This window comes from Homo sapiens, chromosome X (genome assembly GCF_000001405.40).
Source record: "Homo sapiens chromosome X, GRCh38.p14 Primary Assembly".
NCBI classification, from domain to species: Eukaryota; Metazoa; Chordata; class Mammalia; order Primates; family Hominidae; genus Homo; species Homo sapiens.
This window is the reverse complement of record NC_000023.11, coordinates 9,529,456-9,544,756: the sequence shown is the minus strand read 5'-3', so window position 1 is coordinate 9,544,756 and position 15,301 is coordinate 9,529,456. Positions and strand designations below refer to the sequence as shown.

Below are 15,301 nucleotides of genomic sequence, written 5' to 3'. Positions count from 1 at the left end.
CTGTCTGTACAAAAAATTACAAAAAAATTAGCTGGGCGTGGTGGTGCATGCCTATAATCCCAGCTACTCGGGAGGCAGAGGCAGGAGAATCGCTTGAACTCGGGAGGCGTAGGTTGCAGTGAGCAGAGATCGCACCATTGCACTTCAGCCTGGGCAACAAGAGTGAAACTCTGTCTCAAAAACATAAAAATAAATAAACATTGAGTAAAATATTAAAATAAGCAAAATAAATATTGAAATGAATGTTCACTGTCGTTTAAGGAAAAAAAAAAACCCACTCACTTTGCATTTGTACCACGCCGTCTAGTTAACAGCACTTTTGCATGTCTCTCTGGAGTCTCCCAGCCACGTACATGCTGGGCAGTGTGAGGATCCCTCACCTCTGCACACTCAGGCAGGCCTGGCATTCTCCAGGGGACCCCGTGTGCATCAAGCTGAAAACAGCCAGAATCTCCAGTGGAGCCCGCTTTCCAGACACCATGGGGCCCCAAGCTCTTCCACTAGGACACCTCACCAGAGTTTCACAGGCCCCATGGGATAGCAATGCCTGTACTTCTCCTGATCTTGACTTGAGCAAACACATAATAATTAGTAGGAGTTTGGAATACCTTTAAATTAATTCATAACAGCATTTACACACATTTCTTGGGATACGGGGTGGAAGTATCTGCTGGAGTAATTTGCCCCAACTCCTTGCAAAACTCCCCCTGCCAGACCCTACCAGGATCTAAGTGGGGGCAGGGGTGGGGAGGGCAGGGAGATTTGTGATTGTTTTTTGTTTTCTTAAGAATAGCAGATTATCCCTTTAAAACATAATGAGTTTAAGCCTCAGTGACATCTGCAGAGAATGTTCTGTGTTCGGCTACTGTCACTCAAGGGTGGTGGCCTGCTCCATATGTGGAGAGTAGCCCTTCACCCCTGTTTCTTGGCTGCGTTAAGGGGCAAGGGTACATCGCTGTCATTTTTGATACTGGAATTTTCGATTTGTGTCGAATTTTCTATTTCTATCACCTGTCCCGATACTTGGCACAAAGAAGACTTTAGAGAAGCTCAATTAAACAGGCAATTTAAAAACAACTGTCAACAGAGAGTCCCACACATGGTTTGGACAACATCCCTTATACCCGAAACAGGAGAGCCATCAAGGGGCAGGAGCGGTCACTTGCACACCCCCAAGACGAAGGGCCACACTCTGACAGCTCTGCCTCCTCTTTCTCCTGGCCTCCCATGGGTGGGCTGGGATGCCCCATTGAGTTTGTGAGCCAGCAAGAGGGAGGAGGGGGGAGGAGGGAGAAGGAGGGGCGGGGGAAGAAGCCAAGTCTCTTCGAATCAGGAAAATACCCATCTGATTTCAAAGTCACCCGGCCTTCCTGCTACTCTGAAAAGTGAGACACACGCAGAGCTTGGATATGGCCAACTCAAGCCGACCACCCCACAGAGATTCCTGGCCGGATGATTTCCCGTTCCTTCCCCTAGACAACAGACTTACCCACAACACACTCACACGCACACCCAGAAGAGCCACAAAATCAAATCCAGGGAGGCACTGAGGGTGATCGGCAGGCACAGGCGGCCAGAATCCCAGCACACGGATTCACGTCCCGTGCCCTCACTTTCTATGCCTCCGCAGCCATGGGGAAGCCACCCTGTGCGTCTCAAGCTGTTCTGTCCTTGTTGGTCCAGAGGGATGGTAACGCCCACCCTGCCTTGCTCACAGGGAGGAGTCCGGGGCAGGTGACATGAAGGTGTTTTGAAAACACACAGAGCACACACAAACGTTCAGTATGGTGACACGTGGCAGGGGACAGGCCACGGGCTGGCACTCACTCCCCACTGCGAGGCCAATTCTTCCCTCTCTGCAGCACCCAGGGATCGAATGACTGAGCTGTCATGTGACAAGTGACAGCTTCTCCATACACTGCAGCGTCCAGGGAAAATCGTACTCATTGCAATTCGGGGCTCTTATGAACAACAAAAAATATACAGTCGTGGAGAATACAGTCTGGTGCAGCGGATGCTTACGTTTTAACCACCTCTTGCTAGCCCTACCTAACAGGGTCCCAGTTTCCCTCTGGGGAGTTTCCTCTCCCATTCTGCTTTACAAACAGCGCTGAGAGAAGTTACCATGCTGCGAAGGCAACGCTGCCCGCTCCTGCTCCAGTCTCTTCCAAAGTGCGAGGCGGGGCCAAGGCAGAGTGTTCACAAGCTCAGGTCATGATGAAAATTTCCAAAGACAAGACACACTACCCACAGTTACCTCCTTCAACTCTGATGCCCCCATTCTAAAAGAAAATGCTGGGGAAGTGGGAGCTACCGGAATGCTGTGGTTACATCTATCTATATGGTCCAGGAGTATCCAAGACAGCTGTGTTGCCGCCGGTTGTAATGGTGTTGGAATGGCTTCCAGGAGCAATTCATTTGGAAATAAATCATCCAGTGTCAGGACAGGGTGAGTGGGGCCAGACAAGCACAGCATGATAGGGGCGGCCTGAGGGTAGGAGAAGCACAGTTGGAAAGGATCAAAGCCAGAAGCCAGTCCATGGAAAATTCTTCCGTAGAATTTTTATCACTTATCAAGTCATTTATCAATTTTTATCATCCATCAAATGCAATTACAGGCAAGTTTCCAAAATTTAACTAGGCAAAAGTTCATACTAGCAGTAACAACTTGTAAATCGCTACAACAATGGCAATGACAGAGCTGGACCCTAAACTCTGTTGTTGTTTCCTCACCTGAAAATGCTACTGCAAAACCACTAGCAGAGGAAGAGACAATCTATGAATATACAGATTTTTGTTAAAAAAAAAAAAAAAGAAAAAAGAAAAGAAAAAAGATATGAAGGTGGATCAGGCAATTAATTCACATTTTCCCAGACCATGAAGTTTGTGATCGTTGTCAACTTTAAGAAAATTAGTAAGTAGTGACTCCAGGCCCCTCAAATCCTAGCGAGGGTCATTCCTGGTGGGAATACTGCCAAGTGAGGGGTGACCAAAACGCTGCATGGCTTGTCCCCTGGTCCAACCTGGAGGTGGGCACATGGACCCCAACTCAACCAATTAGCTACTCTGCCTATGCACACACACTCACTTTCACACATACTTTGAATCTTGAACTACCAACACTAGAACAGAAATGTGTCTTAAGTATCTTCTGCGGCTGTGATGGTGTCCAGGCCACCAGTGGCAGTCGTTCCTGACACAGCAAATGTTGCTGTGTTCCCTGTTTTTTGTTTCTCATCTCTGCAAAGCTTCCTTGGTTCCTGCTGCTCCTGCACGACAAGCCTCCTTGCCCTCCATCAGTTCCCATGGGCTCCAACAACTCTAATAAACCCTGTGAGCTTCAGTTAGCCAGAACCGATTTTTGCAGTTTGTTGTTGGCTAAATCCAATCTAACCATCCAGTGTTTTCATGTGCAAGGCAGATACCTTTTTTTTTTTTTGGTCACTGGAGAAACAAAGCTGAACTGGTCAACTCTAGCCCTGGTAGCACGAAGCCCAACATACTGGCTTTCCCACATCACGTACCTAACATTTGATGAATAAGAAATTCATGAACAAAAGGATTGTACCATATGGCTTTATGATCATTTGTGTCTACAATATTAAATTAGTACAATTAATTATAGTTAAATTCTGCCAAGCAACATTTTTGTGTTTTTATATGGTTTGGTTATGTTTTGATATTGTCTGATTTGCAGGCTCCTTCTTTTCCCTGGCGAGTGAAATCTCTTTGCTTACTACTTAATGCCCCACAACAAAAAGTGAATTCTGACTTTTGTTTTCAATTGGAAAGGAGAGGTTGAGTTGGAAACTGGGGTAATATGAATGCGGCATCCTTCTCTGATTATTGACAGAAAAAGCATTTTACAACCTTTAAAAGACAATAAAAGAGGGATTTCACAAACAATATAGGATGCTGGACCAACTAAGAGTAATATTTCCTGGGGCTTGTCACTAAATTGGAGATTTTTCCAAAGAACATCCAAAGCACTAGTGAATACATAAGCATCTTATTTAAAACTATAGGAAAATATAATACTGACCTAACCACTGAATTTAGACTTGTTTGTGATGAAAGACTTAGTCTTTTGTTAATTGTTAATATAAAACATTTTGCTCTTCCTAAGTCAGCACATATTTGAAGGAAAGACCAACAATTGCCTTTGGCATCACTTCCCTCGGTTGTCCCAGCTCCGCGCTAACAAGCACAGTTTTTAATTTAACTTCCCTTGTGAAATGGCTCACTTTTTTAAAGAGAAAAACAGGGCAAGAAGACTTCATCTCCAATGGAAGAGCCACTGCCAGAGGTGGGGCCTTTCTGGTTCACAATTTCTCTCTGGCTTGCCTTCCCCCTCGCCAGCTGACTTGGTTGGCCTCAAACAAATTTCAACACAGTTGAGGGGCATCAGAACACTTGTATGGCTCTGGCCACAACCGCTGCAATAACCAGGCTCCTGTGAGTCAGTTGCCACCTAGTGTATAACCTTTGTTAACTTGCACCCCATGCCTGCATCTTTGTCTTGGTAACCCAACTAGTACACTAAACCCTCTAGAACCCAAATCCTGGCTAACGCATAAGTGTTCAGTGCTACCTCTGACAATGGGCTAGTGATGACAGTGATGATGATTAGTTACTATTATCTCTGTCCCCAGTGTGGATAGGGCCCATGACTTCATTTTAAACTGTAACACTTCTTGTGCCAAATTCTTCCTGCATTATAACTACCACCTACTGTGTACACACAGGTTATTCTGCACCTGTTCTGGATATTCTGTTCTGCCTGCAACTATGAATGTCTTTTAAGACCCCATCTAGAGCCAAATAAGTCCTGTGGCACATTTCTGAGTCACTGGGTTAGTCTAGTTCCAAGTCTCAGCTGTACTGCCTAGTAGGGTTTGCATTTGGTGGGGCATGCCCTGACCACGACTTGATAATGAAGGGGGTGGAGTGGGAAGATGTAATAACCCAGTCTTCACCTGTTTGACTGAGCTATGTGCCAGGCTCTGTGCCAGGTGCAGGACTACAAAGACGAGGATGACGTGGGCCTGCCCATGACACAAAGAACAGTTTGGTGAGGAGACAGATATCTCAAAAGACTATCACAAAACAACCCAGAAGTGCTATAAACAATATTCTCAGCATTTTACAGAACACTGATGAGTAGCCCAAAGCCATCTGGGTGGGAAACCGGGCTTCCTGAGGAAAGTGATATCGGAGCCACGTCAAAGAATAAGTAGAACTTAGCCATGAGGAGAAGAGGGGAGTAGGAATCATCACAGAATACCCCAAATTTATAACAGAAACTAACCTTTACCAAGTGCCCCTGCACCAAGATTTTGCCTATGTAATCTCATTGACCTCACACAACCACCTTATAGAGTACATACGGTCAACTTCATTCTTCTGATTAGGAAAAGCAAGCAGGAAAAGGTTAACTTGACAAGGTGCCACAGCTATGCAAAATGGTGGTGACACAATGCACCCTAATCTGAGTAACTCTCAGACCAACACAATTTCTATTGTACCTACGACCTTCATAGAACCACACTCTTGTGATAAAGGTCACAAGAAGCTCTTTGTGCATTTAATCAAGTATGCAATGTGCCTAGATGTTCCTTGTTGTCCTCAAACACAATGTATCCTTTTCCTCATTTTGGCCACCAAAAGATTCACAAAGGGAACAGAAATCAAGATTGTCATCCCCTCCTCTCAGTATCTCCCCATCAGAGTAACCCTAACTCACCGCTTCTCAACCGTCCTGTTATCTGAGTGCCACGTTCCCAGCAGCTTTTGCTGGCAAGGACAGCTAAGCCCTCCATCTGCTGCACTGCCCTGAGGCCTCATCTTGTGCTGAGAGGAGGGGCCCCAGCGGGCTTCTCCCCAGCAGGTGCACACGCACTCTGGCACCCTGGCACTGGGCCATGCAACCTTTCCCCAGCTGCCTTTCCCTACCAAAGGCGAAGCATGCAGACTTCAGGCTCATCAGAGAACGGAAACACCTTCTGGGGCTCTGGACACAAGGCACCCTCAAACAAACATCACCCAGGAAACTGATACAGAAAACAGAGCTGGAACCTCCCCCTCACCCTTCGGTACAAGAAAAGCATTGAGCAAGAGATGGGATAGCAGTTTTACAAGCGAGGAAGTATGAGGCTAATCTGTTCCCAAACAAAGCACCAAAGAGAAGATATCTGAAGGACGTACAGTCTAAAGTTTCAGCAGAGGATGGGAGACTGGGCACGTCCTAATATTTCGACAGATGTGTCTTAGTTTAAGGATAGCGCACATAAAAACTTTCCTTTTACCAAATTTATCTTTGGTAAACTAATTTCCCAGTCGGTGCCCTTGGAGAAATCTGTGTTAACTATTTGATAGTTCCCAATAAGAAAGGATACCTGGGCAAACATATGGTCCATGATATCCAAAGGAAATCTGAACCGCTTTTCTGCTATTGAGCAACATAAACCAGGCTGAAATTACTAAAATGGGGAGCAGCATGGTTACTACTAAGACCCGGGCTTTTGAAGACAGTGGAAAAAACCCAGACATTAAACCTAATCTCCAGTCCCATAATTGCTATTTTAACATTAACGGAACCTCCAGACATCAAGCACAGTGCAAACGTCCCAAGCAGTGAGCATTTCACGATTTCAACGCCAATGACCTGATCTCAGATGCACATTGGTGCAGTTGAGTCTGGTCACAGTCATAGAGCATCATGTTACTTCCAAAGCTTTCAACTCTGAAATTCTCATTTTGGGCCTCACTTCCCGCCACACCATTCCCCCTGCCTCGAGTGGCCTCACAACCCAGATCTGGCTCTCACCAAGGCCCCCAGCCGACAACTCGCTGCAGGTCACCCCTGTCTTCCCACCCAAACTAGGTCCTCAGGGCTATCAGGCCTAGGGTTGTCCTGTCTAATACAGCAGCCACTAGCCACACATGACTATGTAAACTTAAATCAATGAGAAGTAAACATATGCCAATGCTCATAGCAGCATTATCCACAACAGCCAAAAGGTGAAAGCCACCCATGTGTCCTCTGACAGATGAGTGGATAAACAGAGTGTAGTCCATCCATACACTGGAATATTATACAGCCTTAAAAAGGAAGGAAATTCTGACGCATGCTATGACATGGATGAAACTTGTGCTAAGCCAGACGCAAAAGGACAAATACCATATGATCCCACATATAAAAGGTCCCTAGAGTGTCAAAATCATAGAGAGAGAAAGTAGAACGTTGGTTGCTGGGGCTGTGGGGAGGGAAGAATAGGGAGTTTGTGTTTAATGGGGCAGTTTTCTGTTTGGTATGATGAAAAAGTTCTGCAGATGGATCGTGGTGAGGATTGCACAATGTAATGAATATTTAATGCTGTTGAACAGTGTACTTAGAAATGGTTATGATGGTAAATTCTGTTTTATGTATTTTACCACAATAAAAAAAATTGGGGGGCGGGGGGCAGTAGAGAGAGGAAACCTATCTGTAAGAGCACATTTTTCAATATGCCCAAACAAGAATATCAGGACCTTTTAATTGCTAATGCACGTAGATCACTCAAGACCACAGATGGCTCAAAGGTAAAAACCAAGATCCCTTTGGATCCCTCCCTGCCCGATGCATTGTGCTTTGCTCACAGTAAAAGCACTCAGTGATACTGGCTACATGGCAACAAGTACCAAATGATTACATGAGAGGTCTTTGGTAACTCTGAAAGGAAATTAGTGGATTGACCTTACAGTAATTGCTTCAAGACTTAAAAAGAAGGATTGGTAACTTAACGGCCTGGAAATCTTTCTTGGCGCATTCAAAACAAGAGAAAGCCTTTTGTAAACGCTTTGCACCTGTCTCACCACTGAAAGAGGGATTAAAGCCACTGCCTTGGTGCGAGAGGAGAAAATGTCTCTATGATAAAAGTCAAATTAGCAATATTTGACCTCCGGGTAATTTCACTCTGCAGCCCAGCTCCCCTTCTGCTGAGGTTAAAGGCACAACAGTGGCCAGGAGACAGCCCAATTTAAGAGTAACATGCGTCTAGTCTTATCAGAATTCACTGTTTTGATTTTATAGCAAAGTCAATGAGGCCCTTGGATTCTGTGGAAATTACCTCATAATTATTACCTGTGCAAGACAAATGTAACTTATTTAACTTTACAGGGCATTGCCAGTAAGACATGAATACTACATGATAAAAGTGCTCAATTTTGGCCAGGCACAATGGCTCACTCCTGTAATCCCAGCACTTTCGGAGGCCAAGGCAGGCAGATCACAAGGTCAAGAGATCGAGACCATGCTGGCCCACATGGTGAAACCTCATCTCTACTAAAAAATACAAAAATTAGCTGGGCATCGTGGTGCATGCCTGTAGTCCCAGCTACTCCGGAGGCTGACGCAGAAGAATCGCTTGAACCCGGGAGGTGGAGGTTGCAGTGAGCCGAGATCACGCCACTGCATTCCAGCCTGGTGACAGAGCAAGACTCCATCTAAAAAAAAAAAAAAATGCTCAATTCTGATGCTGGGGCAAACAAGAATTATCCAAGACACTTAAAATTGGACAGCTTTTTGTAATGGCCCAATAATAACGACTGTAATGCAGCAGCTTGTAAGGTACTTTAAAAAACAGAAAGGATATGTACTGAGGTTATCACAGGACAGAAGACTGCCTATGCCTGCTCACTTCAAATGGCCAGAGTTCATTTGAAACACAGCACAACCGTGTGCTTCTAGTGTTAAAATTCATGTGCCGCAGCCCACATTAGTGGATTCAGGCTGATCGATTTCAAACCATTCTGATGGCAAAGGGTGAATCATTTGAAAATGTCTTGGGAATATGATACAGAACCAAAAATGCTCATTCCCTACCTCTAGTTTCACCAATCCTCATACCAGCACTATCTATTGAAGGATTTGTTAAATGTCACTCTGTTCCTCGTATGCACACTAATTCCATTTTAAAAACTCACTCTATACACTCTTTTCAGAGTAATCAAGTAGAGAGGTAGTCCTACAGACTCAACTTTAAAGACTAGGATGTTTATACCCAGACAAGTAAAATATAAAGGGCACTGTCCTTTAACATTAATTTTGACAAGACATCAGAGCCAGATTTGATCATTTGGATATAATTAAAGAGTGCAAGGTTATTTTCACAAAACCAGAAAGACTTCTCTGATAGAATTCATCATCGCATCTTTAGAAGTTTGTGCTGACTCTCACATCAGGGGGGCTGCGTGTTTACAAACACACCCGAAGACTTTCACGATCAGGTATGCAGGGGAGACCTCAGGCCAGTGTGCCCAGGAGGTAGAATTCAGACACATTTCCAGTTAAAACTCTGGAGGCAAAAAAGTTTATTCCTCTGCACACTCGCAAGCCTGGCTGCAAGCCACACACACTCTTCACCTCCATTTCCTTCCCTCTATAAACAGAACCACATCTGTGCACGATGATTTCGTTTCCTTACAGGGGACTGGAAGCTTCCTCTCTGTCTCTCAAATAATGACAAAAATAACATTACTCAGGCATGCACAGCAGGCAAAGCCTTCTTGACAATTAGGATTTCAGAGCTTCTTTTTAGGGGAAAAGGGAGTAAGAATTCAAGTGGGATGGCTTCTGGAAGCCTGGGTCTGCACAGATCCCAAGCTGTGAAAAGACAGAAGCCCATGTGTCTGGCCTCTTTAAAAAAAAAGAGTAATATAAAAAGAATAATAAAAGTACTTACTGTTGACCGGATGCTCACCAAGCTCTGTTCTAAGCACTTTAACATGAACCAGCTTTTAAAATAATTCCACTTACACAAGCTACCTCAAGTTGTGAAATTCAAAGAAGCAGGGAGTGGAATAGTGGTTGCCAGGAGCTGGAGGGAGGAGAAACAGGGAGGAGTTGTTCAGAGGGTACATTGTTTCCATCCCGCAAATGAAAAGAGTCCTGGAGATGCTGGACAACTGCAGCTGACAATGCCTACACTCAGAGAGGGGGGAAGAGGGGAGATCTCATGTGGGACTTTTTTTAACCAGAATTTGTAAAATGCTGTAACAATATCCTATTAAGGGAGGTACCAACATCCGTCCCCAGTAAACACTGGCAGCCAAGAATCAAACCAAGGGACTGACAGATAACCCCAATCCTGAGTCTACTTTAGTGAAAAACGAGAAAAGGAAAATACTCAACACTGTATTTTTTTTTTAAATTAGGGTATTAAGAACTGTTGAATTAGGCACTTAAATGGGTGTTTGGTATGTGAATCATATCTCTATAAACCTTTTTTTAAAAAAAAGTCCACAATAGCTAAGAACAGGTGCATCTTATTATATATAAGCCACACTGAAATACGATGAGCACGAAAACAAATGTACACAGAAAGCACATAAAGAACCCTATACGAATAATACGTGGCCACTAAATAACAACTGTATGTCAATGAGTAAAAAATCATCACTTAAATGATGAAAGAAATTCAGATGACAGGAGCCTCACAAACCCAGTTTTCTGAAGACATTATTTATACTCATTAGGATGCCTGCACAGATGTTGCTGTTGATATGAAACAGACATTGTAGACACAGTGAAAGGGAGAAAAATGGCTGTCCACCATTTTTCACCTCCACATCTCTCTGGCTAGTCTTTAGTGGGATCAGACAGCAAAGCAGGAAAAGACAATTTGATACAACACCGACCCGACCTGCAGGCTCCTGGGCAACCCTTCTCCTCGCCTGCCTCCCTCCCTTGCTCCCGCATGGTTCTGGGTTCCTCCCTCGGAGCTCAGCACTGCCCAAGCACTGGGCACGGCAAGCCGGTGCTTCACTGTCACCACCCCTACCAGCTCCTGAGCTCCTGGAGCAAGGTCTCTCCAGGGTGCAAGCATCCCTGGCTCTGCAGAGCCTTCATGGCACCTATGGGAGCCCCATTTAACCACAGCCCAAGGAAGTCCACCAGCTGCTTCCCCTTTCGAAGGAGCCCGGAGCAGCACACCCAGCAGAGGTAGTGTCCTGGTCTCCATTTCTCGTAACTTGATCATGCTGGCCTGGTAAGCTAGCATCCCTGACCTCCACATTTTCAAAACACTGCACGAATACCCACCATCACTGTGCCTTTCTTTACTTGGGGTCTGCTGTCTGCGATAGGTCCCTCTTTGCCTTGGAAATTGTCCTGCCTTCACTTCTCCACAAAGAAAAGGCTGGGAATGTCTCAGGAGCATTTGAAAACTGCATTTAAGTTTCTCTTTCATGGAGGGTTTTCACTCAGAAGGAAACCAAAACTTCCCCAAAGGTAAAATATTTTCCTAAGTTATCTCCCTACCATCAGAACACTTCTTTGAACTGCAGCATTATGTTTATGGAATTTTGTGTAGCCACAAGTAAGGACTAGAAGAAACGTTTTGAAAAAGTGGGGAGGGGGAGGAAGGAAGAGAATGTATGATGAAATTGGAGAGTAGAGAAAAGCAGGCCGAAGGGTGCGGAAAGCAAGCATTCACGCACATCTTCAACAGACAGCTGTGCTAGGAGTTCGCGCTCGTCTATGGGCTGAATTATGGGCTGTTCACACCTGATGCTGCTTTCAACTCCCTTCCTTTTACCTCTTACCCTCACAGTTTTTGTTTATAACAACTTTACTGAGATATAATTCACATACCATGAAATTCACTCTTTCAAAATGTACAATTCAGTGGTTTTTAATACATTCAGAATTTTGCAACCGCTGTCTAATTCCAGAACACTTTCATCACTTCCAGAAGAAACCCTGTGCTGGCTAGCAGTCACCCCACACTGCCCGTCCCCAGCCCTGGCAAGCAGGAACCCACTTTCTGCCTCTATGGATTTTCCTGTTCTGGACATTAGGCATATTACATCCCTACTCCCAACTCATATGCTGAAGCCTTAAGCCCCAGGACCTCAGAATGTGACTGTTCATTTGGAGTTAGGGCCATTCAAGAGGTAACTAAGGTAAAATGAGGTCATTAGGACGGGCCCTAATCCAACAGGACTAGAGATGAGGGGACACAGACACACACAGAGGGATGACCTTGTTAGGACCCAGGGAGAAGACAGTATCTACAAGCCCAGGAGAGAGGCCTAGGGAGGAACCAACCCTGCTGACCCCTCGATCTGGGACTTAGAACCTCCAGGACTGTGGGAGAATTACGGGCTGCTGTTACAGCCGCCCGGCACGTGGTGCTGCGTTAGGGCAGCCCAGGAGACTAAGGCAAGCCCGCGGGCCCAGTGCCAGGCCCGTGGGAGGCGTGGGAATGCTAAGCAAAAGGATTCCCTCTCCAATTCCTGGAGAGAGAGCACAAGGAGTGAGGCTCATGGGCTTGCCCCCTAACCGCTACGTCCCAACCCTTTGTCCCTTATTAAGAGTGTTTAATGTGTTTGGATAGAATTCCTCTAGGGTAAAAATGCTTCACCCCCAATGTTAAGATATAGAATTGTAATTTTACCCTCCCTCACCCCTCCCTTACAAATCAGTTAACGCTCAGATGTCCAGGGTGGGGCAGAAATCTGTTAATTGACATAAAAGAAATGCAGCCTTCGCTTCCTGGGGCAGGGGCTCCCAGTGCAGGCTTGGACAGAGATCCACATGCAGACTAAATGTCCACCCAAAGCTCCAGAAGCATGTGCGCAGCTCAGGAGGCCACTGCACGAACCTTTCAGCATGGCCAGATCTACTTCTCCTCCCCTCCCACCCCACAGACAGCACTGATTTTAAAAGACGTGCTCTTGCGCCCCAGTGTGGTGGCTCACACCTGTAATCCCAGCACTTTGGGAGGCCAAGGAGGGTGTGGATCATTTAAGGTCAGGAATTCGAGACCAGCCTGGCCAACATGGCGAAACCCCACCTCTACTAAAAATACAAAAATTAGCCGGGTGGTAGTGGTGCGCGCCCATAATCCCAGCTACTAGGGGGACTGAGGCAGGAGAATCACTTGAACCCAGGAGGTGGAGGTTGCGGTGAGCTGAGATAGTGCCACTGTACTCCAGTCTGGGCGACAGAATGAGACCGTGTCTCAAAAAGAAAAAAAAAAGAGCCTCTCATTATGTTGCCCAGGCTGGTCTCGAACTCCTGGACTCAAGGGATCCTCCCGCCTCGGCCTCCCAAAGTGCTGGTATTACAGACATGAGCCACAGCGCCCCGCACAGATCTACTCTTCTTAAATAAGCGGAGATGCTTTTTATTTGTGTCTTTTTGTTGTCGTTGTTATTTTCTCTCAATTATTTAGAATGTACAAAATATTCGTGGTATTCAAGGATCAGGTAACAGCTTTACAAACCAGAAATGAGCGATTATTGACATTTAATCAACCAAGAAATATTTATGAAATATAAGGCAAAAAAACCCCACCACCAACACACACCAACACACACACACACACACACACACACACACACACACACACACACACACCCTCCAGGTTCTTAGTTCAAAAAAGTACCTAGAAATAAGGAAAAATGTAAATTGTTCTGAAGCATGCAAAGTTCATCCTGTCATGAATGAAAGGAACTCTCCCTCTCCCCTCCCTCTCTCCCTGTCTCTCCCTCTCCCTGACTCATTTACTGTGTGAGTTTCTTAAATTCGTGTTAGGGAATGCAGGGAATTTAAGCACTAAGCATACCCATCTCCCACTAACTCCACCCTCCCACCCAGGCCTCCCCCTTTTTAACACTCCCCACCTCTGCACAAAAGGTCCTGATCCTTCTCTATTCAGTTGCATTCTCTTAATGCAATGCACCCGGCACAAGCACACATCCCGCTCAAGGGTTAGCTGCTGACGGAGGGGCGGGGCTTTACCAGCGGCAGATAAGATGCTTTGGCAGGGAGCCTCTTTGCAGCCTCACACGTGATGCTCGGTCCATTTTTTTAAAGGGGGAGGACTACGTTTCATTGAACACATCTAAAAATGTAATGGAGGGAGGGAGGAATTAAAGTCAATGGGTAAAACGTGCCATTTAAAAGTATATGTATTCTCGGGAAAAAATCCAGAAACATTTTCTTTCCGTTATATTTTAAGATTTCTTGGGTTGACTTCAACACAGATAAATGAACATTTGTGATGAAAAGATAAGTATAGTTTCTTAAAATTGAGAAGTCAAGGGGATTTTCTCACCTTATTTTAAAAGAAACATGTAAATATTTTAGCGGAAGTAGAGAGGAAAAAGGAAACATGCAGGGCTTTTTTAAAAGAGCACCTTTTTTTACAGCTTTAAAGCCACAGATAATTTGAGAACATAAAAATGTGTGATGTGGTCTGTTCATTAAAAAGTAAGTGCCAGTATAAATTGAATTTTAAACTATCATTTAGCCAGACAATAATTTCAAATTTAATAACTAAATTGATTTTAATTGCTTTTAAATGGTCCTGGCAAAATCTGAGCAAGCTCTTCATTTCTGCCAATTCATTAGAAGCAGGCAAACTTGAATACAGAAGGAAAAAATCAAATCATTATAATTAAACAAAATTTTCTGCATTCAGTATCCTCTCCAATGTCAAGCAGACCTAGAAGCTACTGACTCTAACAAAAGCAAAGGAGACAGATGGGAGAATGGACCCCCTCGTGACATTAAAATGCCACCTGGCTTATAAATGCACGTTCGTTTTGGAAGACATCAACAATAACAGGGCTCTCCTGTTTGTTTTTTTAAATCGTCTTTTTAGGTCTTCTAAAACTAGAGGAGCTCAGAAGTGCTTTCCCCACATTCATCAGGTATTCTATTGTGGGTTTTCTTTACTCCACCACTCAGCGTATTTCTAGATATTAACCCATTCCTCCATGCATCTGCCATGGAGGTTTCTTTCTCTCTTTCTATCTCTCTCTTTCTTTCTTTGAGACAGGGTCTTGCTCTGTGGTCCAGGCTGGAGTGCCATGGTGCAATCACAGCTCACTGCAGCCTCAACCTCCCAGGCTCCCGCCTCAGCCTCCTGAGTAGCTGGGACCACAGGTGTGCGCCACCATACCTGGTCATTTTTTTTTTTTTTTTTTGGTAGAGACAGGGTCTCCTTATGTTGCCCAGGCTGGTCTCCAACTCTTGGCCTCAAGCGATCCTTCCACCTTGGCATTCCACAGTGCTGGGGTTACAGGCATGAGTCACTGCGCCCAACCATGCCATGGAGGTTTCCTTGAAGTTTTTACCCTGAGCCTCATGACCCCCCATGTCTACATTATTCTTACTCCCAAACAACATCAGAAACAAGGCGCACAGCTGCTGAAGGCTGCTTGGGCCTGGAAACCAGTCTCTACCTGGCTGTGCCATGCCTGCCTTCCTGCACCCACATCTGGGGTCTGAATGCATTCCACACAATGTCTG

General features: G+C 45.2%; 1 protein-coding gene across 4 annotated transcripts in view, besides 5 other annotated features; it reads right to left on the bottom strand.

Moving 5' to 3' along the window:
* Nucleotides 1–15,301, bottom strand: part of TBL1X (transducin beta like 1 X-linked) — a 256,446-nt gene that overhangs the window by 174,984 nt on the left and 66,161 nt on the right. Inside the window, exon 3 of one of the 4 annotated variants that reach the window (NM_001139468.1) lies at nt 9,723–9,857. The exons of the other annotated variants lie outside the window; for them this stretch is intronic. The gene's annotated coding sequence lies outside the window, so the exon portion shown is untranslated. The remainder of the gene's footprint in view (nt 1–9,722; nt 9,858–15,301) is intronic. 4 annotated transcript variants of the gene reach the window in all.
* Nucleotides 11,660–12,229: an enhancer, noted in NCBI's record as "H3K27ac-H3K4me1 hESC enhancer chrX:9500568-9501137 (GRCh37/hg19 assembly coordinates)". NCBI's record gives its function as "activates a minimal SCP1, AML or CMV promoter by ChIP-STARR-seq in naive H9 embryonic stem cells {active_cell/tissue: H9 hESC(naive)}" and the evidence as "EXISTENCE:reporter gene assay evidence [ECO:0000049][PMID:30033119]".
* Nucleotides 13,371–13,942: an enhancer, noted in NCBI's record as "NANOG-H3K27ac hESC enhancer chrX:9498855-9499426 (GRCh37/hg19 assembly coordinates)". NCBI's record gives its function as "activates a minimal SCP1, AML or CMV promoter by ChIP-STARR-seq in naive H9 embryonic stem cells {active_cell/tissue: H9 hESC(naive)}" and the evidence as "EXISTENCE:reporter gene assay evidence [ECO:0000049][PMID:30033119]".
* Nucleotides 13,371–13,948: a biological region, named in NCBI's record as "Sharpr-MPRA regulatory region 11092".
* Nucleotides 13,654–13,948: a silencer, noted in NCBI's record as "tiled region #11092; HepG2 Repressive DNase matched - State 9:DNaseU, and K562 Repressive DNase unmatched - State 8:EnhW". NCBI's record gives its function as "represses a minimal TATA promoter and a strong SV40 promoter by Sharpr-MPRA in HepG2 and K562 cells {active_cell/tissue: HepG2 | K562}" and the evidence as "EXISTENCE:reporter gene assay evidence [ECO:0000049][PMID:27701403]".
* Nucleotides 13,758–13,827: a silencer, noted in NCBI's record as "silent region_20653". NCBI's record gives its function as "represses an Ori minimal core promoter by ATAC-STARR-seq in GM12878 lymphoblastoid cells {active_cell/tissue: GM12878}" and the evidence as "EXISTENCE:reporter gene assay evidence [ECO:0000049][PMID:35858748]".